The sequence below is a fragment of the Homo sapiens genome, chromosome 4, assembly GCF_000001405.40.
Source record: "Homo sapiens chromosome 4, GRCh38.p14 Primary Assembly".
NCBI classification, from domain to species: domain Eukaryota; kingdom Metazoa; phylum Chordata; class Mammalia; order Primates; family Hominidae; genus Homo; species Homo sapiens.
In genome coordinates this window covers 41,541,179-41,553,588 of record NC_000004.12, presented here as the reverse complement: position 1 = coordinate 41,553,588, position 12,410 = coordinate 41,541,179, and the positions used below count along the sequence as shown (strand labels likewise).

The window sequence follows — 12,410 nt, the reverse complement described above, 5'->3', positions numbered from 1 at the left end:
GTACACAGGGATTCTCAAGACTTAGTCCATATCTCCCTGCCCTCCTCATCCCCCACCACACCCTACCTCATCCACTGGTCTAGTGGTATCTTGCACACTTTGCTCATGCTGTTCTATCTGCTGGGAACATACATACCACCTTTTTCTTTCTGCCTGGTGAACTCAGTTATCCTTCAAGACTCACCTCCTGTAAGTCTTTTAGGAAGATTTCTCCAAATTCCCAAGTAGACTCAATTAAGGCCCTCCTCTATGTTCCCACAGCACTTTGTGAATATATCCATCTTATCACCTACCATGCTAAACTGAAATTGTCTGCCTCCCCTACTAAATAGTTCCTCAAAGGTGGAGACCATGCCATTCATGGTTGTAACCCCGAATGCACAGTGGCTGGCACAGTAGACAGTCACATGATAACAGAACTAAATCAGGAGTCAGACAGCTGCCCATCACTGCGAGAGATCTCGCAGAGACCAACTGGCCATCACTCCAGAAGGGAGAGAAGAGATTCTTGTAGCGCCTGGAAGGCTGATTATACCAGTGGCACCTAGGGTCACGTTAACCCCATAATTACATGATTTTATAAATCTCCATTCAGATTTTTGGGGATTGGAATAGGAATTAAACACATAAGCACTTTGCACTTTTATTTTTTTAAACAGCTCACCTCAAATAATTAAAATTCCTAAGGAGATAACTATATATATTACTTCCATGAGCCATGAAACTGAACTTTCAGCTCATAATTCTTAAAGTCTGTCTTACTTCTGATTATATAATGCTTTAAAATTATCATAATCAAATAGTAATAAGGACATAAAATGCAGAGCCTAGCAGAAAGGCAAACAGATTTCAGCAAATATTTTTAAAAGCTATTTTATCCAAGCTCCTGAAAAAAGGACAGCATTAATAAAGAACAGACCAAGTGTCTAGAAGAGGTAGTGGCAGGGTAATTTGAATACTTTGTGTCACAAAATTTTTAAATATCCATGTTTATAATTTTTATGGATTGGTGAGCAGCAGCCTAGGAGAACAAGAAGCAAGAGACAGGAAAAGGCACTGATTCCAAGAGAACAAGAGCCTGTAGGGAAAGCCTCCAAAGTAACGCGATGGCATTTATATTGGCCCTGAGCTCATGATTCGAGCCTTCTGGAGTGTTCTTCCTCTCAGATGGATCCTGATGCAGGCGTGGCACATGCCATGTTTTAAAGATCAGTATATGGAGATATAAAGGATGCACCACACAGATAGAGGGCCCTGTCTACAAGAGAAGACGGTTCTTCTTTTTACAGACTCTTCACACAGCTCATGAACACATAGTGATATGGTTTGGCTGTGTCTCCACCCAAATCTCATCTTCAATTGTAGCTCCCACAATCCCCACAAGTTGTGGGAGGGAGTCAGTGGGAGGTAACTGAATAATGGGGGCAGGTCTTTCCCATGCTGTTCTCCTGATAGTGAATAAGTCTCATAACAAGATCTGATGGTTTTACAAAGTGGAGTTCCCCTGCACACGCTCTCTCTTGCCTGCTGCCATGTAAGACGTCCCTTGCTCTTCTGCCATGATTGTGAGGCCTCCCCAGCCATGCGGAACTGTTCGTCCATTAAACCTCTTTCCTTTATAAATTATCCAGTCTTGGGTATGTCTTTATTAGCAGCACGAGAACAGACTAATACACATAGAAAGCACTTTCTCCACTATAACAGGAATTGGTAAACTTTTTCTGAAAGGGCCAAATAGTACACATTTCAGGCTCTGTGGTCCATATGTTTTCTGTTGTATCTACTCTGCCACTGTGGTATGAAAGTAGCCATGGATACTACATAAATGAGTGAACATGGCTGTATTCCAATAAAACTATGTTTATAGACACTGAAATTAGAAATTCACTTAATTTCCATGTATTATGAAATATTCTTCTTTTATTTTTTTCCAACCATTTAAAGATATAAAAACTATTCTTATCCCACAGGCCATGAACAAAAGGAAGCAGGCTGGTTTTGGCCTGCAGGGTATAGTTCCTTGACCTCGGCTTCATCCAAACACTCTAATTTCATCTCGTATTTGTATCCTTGGAGTGCCCAATGCCAGCAATACAGCCTACCCCTGGAAGATGCCCAGTATTGACCATTTGAATTTGATAAAAGTAAGTGCTAACTTCATGATACAACTATATAAAGAAAAGCAAGTCTTACCAGTGTTATTTTGTCCTGAGCAACTCCTTTGGAAAATTTTAAGAATCATGCACTTGTTTGGAAGGATCTCTGAGCCTAGCAATAGAAGGCAAGGCTGTTATAAATATCCATAATTATGAAAGTTCAACTAAACTCATGAACTCTGTAGATATTGCTGGAAGGATCAAAGACATATTTCCCCTCACAGTCCATCTGTATTCTTACCTAATTAGACAGCTGCCTTGACAATGACTTTAGAAACTTACTTCTCATCTTGAATGGGATCAATTTCCTATCATGGAGGAAGAAAGATAGAAGAAACATTCTGAATTTTTGGAATCAAAGAGTTAGTCTCCAATATGAATACCTATGAAAGGAATTTCTTTTAAACCTAGATGTTAAGAATAACTTTCTTCCTCATGAGAAATTAACTAAGTCTGATGGAAGCTAAAAGCTTTGTAATTAATCATATTTTCCTTTTTGCTGTGGCTGCCCGGAAACTCAGAGTAAAGTGTGTGCCCCGATTATAAAAGTTATATTATCTTTTGGTTACACTGATATTTTCCACAGTCAAAGCTTTTACTTTTTCCCCCAACTATAACTTAATATTTTTATGTTTCCAGTCCTTTGTAGAATAAGAAGGAGTACCAATTAATTCATTAATTCTCTAATCTTAGTAAGCTTGCATTTCTACTCAGGAACACAATCAATCATGTTAGCAATACACTCACTCATATCAAGATGAGCCAAATGAATAATTTCTTTCAAATATCTCTTTTCAAGGTTGTCTTTCACTTCTCCATATGTTTCTGTTCTTCATCTGGCTGTTAGTTTTTTGTTGCCATGGCACTTAACATTTATACAAACAATAAAAAACAAGGAAACAGTTCCTGCCCACTTCCTGTCAACTCTTATCTGAATTTCAGGCCAAGTGGTGTATGATTGATTCCAACTTGAGGCACCTAGAGATGGTGAAATGAGATGGCCTTGAGCCATTTACTCCAGAGCATTTTGAAAGTAGAAGGCTCATTTTTTAAATACCTAGGAGAATAAAATGAGCTAAAGGTATCAAATTATTTTTCCTATTGATTCAGTCAACAGGTATTAATTGATCACCTGCCACATGTGCTAAATTAATACCTGTTGACTGAATCAATAGGAAAAATACATACACACAATATAAAATTAACCAATTAGATTCTATATCAAATTTTGAGTCTCACCTTGTAAACAGGATAATCAGTTTTTAAATAGCAGCATGAGGGACAGTGGGCATAAGAAATGGCAGCCACACTGAGGATACTGGGGGTGAAGCCTGCCGTCTCTTACAATTTGGGTACATGGCCAAGTTTTATTATTAGGTTGGTACAAAAGTAATTGTGGTTTTCGCCATTACTTTTTATTTTGCCATTATTTTTAATGGCAAAAACCACAACTACTTTTGTACCAACCTAATAATTCAGACAGCATTCTTTGAAATAGAAGACAAATCCGACAGAAACTAGATTAAACTGTAATAATCTTACTCAATAAAAAGAATCTATCCACATATAAATCGTGTTGATTACAGAATGATTTCTATCTGTTTCTTCAAGTAAATCTAGCAAAATTTCTATCTTATATGCTTAAAAAATTTAATGAACAGAAAGCAAAAGTATCCTTCTTTTTAAAATGTACTATACTTTGCTTATCACTAACCCACAAGATACATGTGACAGAAGTAAGAAATCCACTCTGCTCTTGGAACACGGTGGTTAGGAGCCAGACTTAGGTTTGATCCCCAGCTCTGTCATACGCTAGCTGGGTTATTTTGGCCAAATTGTTTAGCTTCATTGCACTTGGTTTCTTCATTTTTTAAGTGAGGGTACTATTATATTGTTCCTAGTGCTATAGTAGAGAGAAAAAGAAAAAAATGAAGTCCTTAAGAATGTTATATAATAAAATGACTAAGGGCAAGGGCAAGGCATCAGCCTCCTGGGTTCAGCTTCTGGCTCTATCCCTCACCGAGTGCATACCCATGAGCACGGACTTCACATCCCTGTGTCTCAGTCTCCTCATCTGTAAAAGAAGAACACTAGTTGCATCTACTTTTTTGGGTTACTGTGAAGAGTAAAGAATAGAAATAAAGCGCTTAGCACATGGTGAGCACATACTAAATGTTAACTATTATTAGATTAATATCTGGCATATTGTAGGTACTAAATAAATGGTAGTTAATATTAACAGGCCCAGCACAGTGGCCCGTATGCCTGTAATCCCAGCACTTTGGGAGGCCAAGGCAGGATGGTTGCTGGAGTCTGGGAGTTTGAGACCAGCCCAGGCAACATAGTGAGACCAAGTGTCTTTAAAAAAAAAAATTAACAGTAGGGGACAAAATGGGAAAGAATAGAAACCATGAGTTTTCACAGGTAGAAAGGTCTCAGCAATCATTCAGTTTTATCTTTCACTCCACAAATGAGACAACTAAGGACTAAAGCAACAGAAACTACCCTGCCCAAAGCCCCTCAGCTCTGGAGGCAGAGCCAGCACTGCAACCCAGCTCTTTACACCTCCAGTCCAATGTTCTTGGCCTGAAACCACACTGCATACTTAGTCCTCCTGCCTCTAGGGGTGATGGAATTATAATGGAAACCAGTTTTTCACGACTCTTCTCCAAAAAGGAAAAAACGAGATGGGGATTTGGGAGTTGGAACAAGGTGAGAGCAGCCACTGGCAAAGAGACAAAATTGAATACTGTTCCTCAATATTTGGAACATATATCTGGAAGGCATCAGGATTTAATTTTTGGTGAAACTGGCCAAGGGTTTATAAATTAAAAATATAATCATAGGAAATAAGAATGACTTGGGGAATTATGGACTGATCAATTACACTCTGGGATAGGGCCAGTTGATGGTGTCATTAATCAAACAAAACAGCCCAGCTTTTTGAATAAGAGAAAATTGACTGAACAACTAAAGAGATTAGTTTAGTAAGGTTTTTGGTGGAGCGGGGGCAAAGAGGCTCTCTTGGATGAGTTTCTCATTATCAGGTATTTCTTAAAATGAGTTGAGTGAGATAAAATGGTTGTGAAAATACTTTAGAGGAAGAAACTATTCAGAGTACTCAGTTCAACACTCGCATTTTACAAATGAGAAACAGAAATGAAGAAAGCAAATCACTGGCTCAAACTGACTTGGCTAGTGTAATTTCAGGGCCTCATGGTAAGATTATAGATTAAAGTGTAAGCCTTAAACAAAGGGTAGAGATAAACAGGAGAAGTGCAATGATCTGTATCATTGCAGAAGTATACATCATCATTCACTGAGATCTTATAAGGTGCCAGGCAACATGCTACGTTGATCCATATGCCTTTATTCCTCACAAATTAATGAGTTAGGTACTATTACTATGCTATTTAATAGATGGGAAAATAGAGGTTTAGGGAAAAATATGAATGACATTAACACCTGCCAGCACCATTACTATAGTCATCTTTTTCTGAGCACATACCATGCACTAGGTAATGTACTCACTGTTTATATATATATATATATATATATATATATATATACACACACACAAATTATATATCATAAAACATTATATGTATTTATAATGTATATTATATTGTATTTATTTATAATATATGTATATTATATGTATGTTTATATTTTTATATTTTTATATATTATTTATGTATATATTATATATGTATATATGTGTATACTATTATATATGTATATATAACATACATATATTATATATGTATATATTTATATCTGTATATATTATATATGTATATATTTATAATATCTGTATATTTTATTATATATTAGCTCATTTAATCCTTACTATGGTCTTATAAGGTCAATACTATAGTTAATCATCATTTTACAGATGAAAAAATGCGAAACTTAAATTATTAGCCCAAGGTCACCTTGGGCTGGGAAGTGGCTAAGACAGGGGATGAAGCTGGGCCTCTGCAGTTAATATCTTTAAGAATAAAAAGCACAGGAAGACAGATACCACATGATCTCACTTATACTTGGAATCTAAAAAAGCCAAACTCATAGAGGTAGAGAGTAGAATGGGGGTTACCGGAGGCTAAGGAGGAGGTAACAGGTGGGTGAAGAAAGGTGACATGTTAGTCAAAGCACACGAAATTCCAGTTAGACAGGAGGAGTATGTTCCAGTGATCTATTAGACAGCACAGCGACTATAGCTGATAATAATGTATATGTCAAAATTGTGTGAAGAGTAGATTTTAAATGTTCTCACCACAAAGAAATAAGTCAGCAAGCTGACAGTTAATTAGCCTGATTTGATCATTCCACATTGTATAGACATCATAACATCACCTCATCACCTTGTATCCCAGAAATATATATAATTATTACTTGTCAATTAAAAATAAAATAAACATTGTTTACAAAAAAGGATAATAGGAAGAAGAAGATGCAAAGAAAAATCTCCATTTGCAAATCTTTGACTCTTCCAGTAGTAAAGACCTGACAGGGAACTAGCTCTCTCTGTCTCAATCTCGGTCTCAACCTCTCTCTCTCTTTCTCTCTCTCGCTTGTCTCTCTCTCTCTCCATATATATATGTAGGTATGTGGAATCCTTGGCATTTCTGTGGCTAATGGAACACTGAATTGAGCTAGGGGAAGAATGGGGCTTACCTAGGAGAGTAATTTTTGCTCTGATTGTACTAAAGCTCATTACTATTTTAGTGCCATAATCTATCACAGGGGAAGCAACACATTCATTGCCTGGAATAACATGCTAAGTGGAACAGAAAATCAGGTAAGAAAATAGTGTGGTTAAAGCATCTGAAAGACTTAGGAACAAAGAGACTGAATGATGGGGCTAAAAAAGAATAAAAAAGAAGAAAGTTGAGAAAAAAAACCACATTGATTTCATTCTATAGATAGGCAAGCATAACAGAACAACATAAACAGCTGCCCAAGGATTATTTTTATTAAAAAAAAAAAATACAGGCTGGGCATGGTGGCTCATGCCTATAATCCCAGCACTTTGGGAGGCTGAGAGAGGCAGATCACTTGAGCTCAGGAATTCGAGACCAGCCTGGCCAACATGGTGAAACCCCATCTCTATGAAAATTACAAAAATTAGTTGGGCATGGTGGCGCACACCTGTACTCCCAGCTACTTGGGAGGGTGAGGCAGGAGAATTGCTTGAACCAGGGAGGTGGAGGTTGCAGTGAGCTGAGATCACACCACTGCACTCCAGCCTGGGTGACAGAGTGAGACTCCATCTCAAAAAAACAAAAAAAACAGACCAATGAAGGCTTCTTTCTACTCTACATGGAAGGTAGTTTTCTATTTCTATAACATATTTTTTATTCCTATAACAATATATCATCAAATATCTGCTTAGAAATCTGTTGACAGAGCCTGGGAAATCTTGATGAATGAATAAACAGGTAGACCAAGCAGAAACAATTTCTTGTTTTCATAAAGCATTCACCCCAATGTTAATATTTCATATTGGCAAATTTAAGCAACCTAACAGTTGGACCATGTAAACTATGGCCAAAAAAAAATTAAACTGCCAAGTAAGTATGAAACGAAATGGATATTCTTGACTGAACATATTAATATTTTGACTTCCAACTGCTTAAATACATAAGCTCTGTGCTGACTTGACTTTTAAAAAAGTTAAACCTATGACTTTTTAAATGAATACTTTCTGATCAACCATAAGAGATGATCACTCACTCATTTATTGATTAAATAACCATTTAATAAAACATCAGGTAGCTCCAACAACCCTATAACTCAAGTTGCAACAGTGTCCTTTCAGGAATGAGTAAAGGAGCCTGTTTGGGGGGAGGATGTAAAAGTCGTTGTCGAGGTCAACATTAAGTTTAGAGCCAGATAATAGGGTAACTGCTTGATCACCCTTGCTGTGATTTTCTAGCAAAGCTCTTTGTTTTCCATTCCTGATGATCACTGCCCTTCACTTTCCACAGTAACTCTCCCCTCGTACTGACGAACAGGAAAAAAACACTCAAGTCCTTTCTTACATAATGTGTTTTTTTGCAGGAGATCCAGAACTCAAAGATCCTTGATGCTTTTTATCAATTCCACTAAACGTCAAGGACAGGAAATAAAAACATTTTTCTCTTCCGACTCAAACACAATACCCCTTTGTGAAGCTGCTAAAAATCTAGAAATGGCAAATCTGGGAAAATTTTCAGGTGAGCGATAGGCATCAAAATATTTCATTTTTGCTAAAAATATCTCTTAAGTTTTTCTTAGCATTCCAACTCACATCACACTGAATTTGAGTACAAAGAACAGAATCTGTTTTACCCTTGTATTGGCAGTGACTTTGAGGTTATACAAAGGAGTCAAAGTAGCCTGTCCTATGACACTGAAGTCCCTGTAGGCATTTGCCAGTTCAGAGCAGTTCCTTTCAGAATGGAAACAGGAAAGATGGAAAAGGGAAGAGAGATCAATGCAAAATTCTGTATCTTCATTACTTGGCAACTGGAGTTTCAATCAAGGACCCAAGAGGTAACTTAGGCAAGTTGGGGAGTCCCTGAAAGCTAAACCCATGACAGTGAATCTTGTGTAGTCCTCAGCAGCTGCCCCAGCACAGATAAATGAGGCTTTCTAGGAAGCATAAGCATCCTAATGGCAGTAAGGCTGATCCAGTGTCCAGAGGGAAACGTGGTGGCAACAGAAGACACGTGTGGTCTGGGGTAGGCTTTGATGTTGCAGCTCCACAGCAACAGAGACACATGAGAAGAGATCAAAATAGAAGAACCACCCAGCCTTGCTTGGAGAGGAGGTGGAATGGAATGGAATAACTAGGTAACTAGGTAATAGAAAACCAGGTAACTAGGTAATGGAATAATTAGGGAACCACTGGGCACCTGGAGGCTTCTGGGCTCTTCTCTACTCTGCAGGCTTCTCTCTGACACATTAGAGGCCTCCCAGACTCAACTGCTCCCCTCGACAGGAGCAGAAAATAGACGACAGCTACATTTTCTTCAAGTCTTGCCAAGAAAAACCTTGCAGGGTTAAGAACACAAAAGCCTTCAAATATCTTGCTACTGAGGTTCTTTCTTATAAGTTTCAGTGTATACCCACACACAGAGAGTGAAGAAAATTCACTTTGATTCAAAGGGTTCAAGAATGTTCACAGTCTTTCGAGGAGTCACTATGTTTTTAAACTCTTTCAACAGCTCTATTTGTTCTCAAAAGAGTCATAGATTTATTTAATAGCAGTTTATCTTTCAGTTGGCCCATTACAAGCCGGAGCATAACACGTAAAGCATCCAGCATAATCACAGGTTTGGAATTGAGAAGGCTTGGTGGGGGTGGGGGGGTATCTGAAATATAAAGACAATATAAAGGCAAAGAGTTTGTCATGTTATTTGCTGCAGGGAAGCATGTCCATAGGTGAAAAAGTTGAATTTCACATAAAAATATAGAAGTAAACATCTGGAGAAGAAAGACTTTCATGGCAGGTTTGTGAATACGCCCCTAAAAATCCATCGCCCATTTTAAAGAAACAACTAGGGTCTGTGGAGCAACAGGGTGAAACAATCGTTCACTTAAGATACAGTAACATCTTTCTACCAAGTGATAAAAACCTATCACAAAATAAATACACACCACATGTGCTCCATAAAAGTATAACACAGAGGCGCCTTTGTTTTTTTAACAGAAACCTGGCCAAGATGTGAAGACCCAGACTGTGGCGCTATGTTTGGGACTCAGAGGTCTGACACGGGAGCTGAGACTCAGACCAAAGAATTAAGATAGTAACAACATGTTGTCAATTAATCATGCTCATAAGGTGGTCAAAATGACCATGAGGACACATTTCAGTCTACCGGACAGTATGCCAGCTTTCATTCTTGTGCTCAAAGACAAAGAAGAAAGCTTTAATTTGGTGCAATATGGGCCGAAAGTTTAGTTGTCATATATATTAAACTCAGCCTACAGTCTTACTTGAGTAAATTTCATGAAAAATCCAATTTTCTTAAATGTAAGTTATGTTAGGGAAAAAACACTATCTCCACAGGAGCTCAGAGATGTCCCTAACAATACACTCAAACATATTTCATGTATTTTATGTTTTTATGTTTAAACTTATAAATGTAAATTAATATATTTCTATTAAAATTCATAAAATATATATGTACATTTATAATATAAATTAAATACCTTCAGCTGAGTTAGACATTCTGTGCCTTGAAGGACACCAGTTATTTTAGGAACAAATACTCTTTATTGAGGAAGAAAGTGCTGGATCCACCAATGGAATGAACACCCACATCTCTTAGACATAGTTCCATGCGTTACCTTCTTCCCCACAAACCGCATGTTTGTGCAATTAGCTTTCATCAAATCAACATATTAGTCACCAAAAAACATGCTGATGAAAACAAAGACAGGCTAGTTGCTTATTTCTTGAAAGTGAACAGTTCCTTTGGCCATTATATAAGATAATCAGTTTTGCCAGCATCGAAACAGATAATGCTTTAAAAATAATGTGAGGACAATGTTACAATTTTTTCAGTTCTTATTTTCAATTTATTGGCGTTGACTCATATGAGCCCTATATAGCAAGTTGTTCTCTCTTACTGTAGATACCTGCACTTACATACATATAAGACCATCCTCTGACTTCAGGAAATACTGAGGTCAGGTTCCCTGGCAGTAGGGAAGCTGCTATGATGGGATGGATTTCTGGAAACAATTGAAATATCAACGTGGAATAAACTTTATAAATACTTATCTTAAGGGAGTGTTGGCAGAAGCAAGGAAAATGGGTCAACTTCAGGAAATAGCACAGCCTATTTAAAGGCAAAAAAATCAAGAAACAAAAGGGAGTTCAGTTGCTGGTAAATCAGTTTTCTCTTTCTAACAAGTTTATTTATATGCATTTTTCTCTTCTTCCTATAAGGAAGGTATTTTTTCCTTCCTTTAAGTTTTTACTGTTAAATTCACACATTCACATTTTTTTAGTCCTTAATTACCCTGACTGAGTAATTTGAGAGCAGAAACCTCTGGCCATCAGGAAAAAAAAAAAGAAAAGAAAGAAAGAGAGAAAAACACATGTCCAAAAATTCCCTAAGCTTTTCCATATTCCTAAAAGCAAAATGTAACACTAGCAGTGTAAATAAAATCAATACACTGAGAACTCCTAAGGCTGGTTCTCAATGGAACCAGCCATTCCATTCTTGGAATGAAAACCTGAAACGGAAACGAGGAAGATGAAATGAGATTCTACCTAAAAAGACTCCAACAGATTGAGGGCTAGTGTGAAAATCCCAGGATGTGTAATGAGGGGAGGGGAGTAAGCTCTATGGTCAGAGCTCCCATCCAGCCCAGAGTGGCCCAGCAGAAGTCAGGCAAACACAGACGCAGTCCACATCGCTGCTCTACCACAAGCATGGCTGAGTTCGGCTTTTCAGATGTCGGACCTGGGGTGGGCCCTAGGAGGGGCTCAGAAACCAGAGCGACTTTTCAAGTTGTGTCCTTTATGGTATTTGCAGGGAAAGGGCCAACAATAGCCAAGGGGCTGTTTACCAAAGTCATTCTCCAGCACCTCCCACAGAAACGCTTGTGGAAATCACTGCCAAAGCTTACATGGGAATCAAACAGAAGGAACTGAGCACAGCCATGTAAAACATGCCCCAGTCATTTCGTAAGCTCTGTTTCTTCACAGATGGCTGCTGTGGAAGAAATGACTGCTTACAGAAAGCAGAGATCCAAAAATTAATCCAGCCACTGGGATGAAAGCAGGATGAAAAATGATCCTGTTCTATAATTCACATTGGTGATTTACCAGGTCTGGGCTATAAGACATCTAGGGATAAAACTGCTACTCAAAAGCAGATCTGGCAAAGGTGAGGAAACGGTGTGAAGGGCAGGTACTGCTGAAGATCTCTAGAGTCAAAAAAGGATTCACCAAATTAAAATAGAATGTTTCACAGACCAGTAAAGCCAGATGGGAGTTGGTAGCTCATACATATCCTTGTATTTCCAAGAGATGGGAGACTCCAGACTCTGAAAGGGACCAAACACAAGCTCACCTGCTGCGGCAGTACCCAGAGCTGAAAAGAGAGGATGCCAAAGGAATCCAGCCTTCCCGAATCTACACTCTCAAGGCTGGGCTTTGGGACTCTAAGGGTCTAATAAGCTATGGCTCTTATTTTATATCATTACAACAACTGCTTTGGTTCCTTCATTCTTTCACTACTTACCTGTGCTTCT

The 12,410-nt window shown here is 38.1% G+C and overlaps 1 protein-coding gene and 1 long non-coding RNA gene across 42 annotated transcripts in view; one reads left to right on the top strand and one right to left on the bottom strand.

Moving 5' to 3' along the window:
* The window catches only part of LOC105374423 (uncharacterized), a 38,461-nt gene extending 28,326 nt beyond the window's left edge, over positions 1-10,135 (top strand). Inside the window, exons 2-4 of the long non-coding RNA XR_001741667.2 lie at positions 1,971-2,144; positions 8,220-8,374; positions 9,853-10,135. This is a non-coding gene — a long non-coding RNA (uncharacterized LOC105374423). The remainder of the gene's footprint in view (positions 1-1,970; positions 2,145-8,219; positions 8,375-9,852) is intronic.
* LIMCH1 (LIM and calponin homology domains 1) overlaps positions 1-12,410 on the bottom strand; it is a 340,438-nt gene that overhangs the window by 146,456 nt on the left and 181,572 nt on the right. The window lies entirely within an intron of this gene.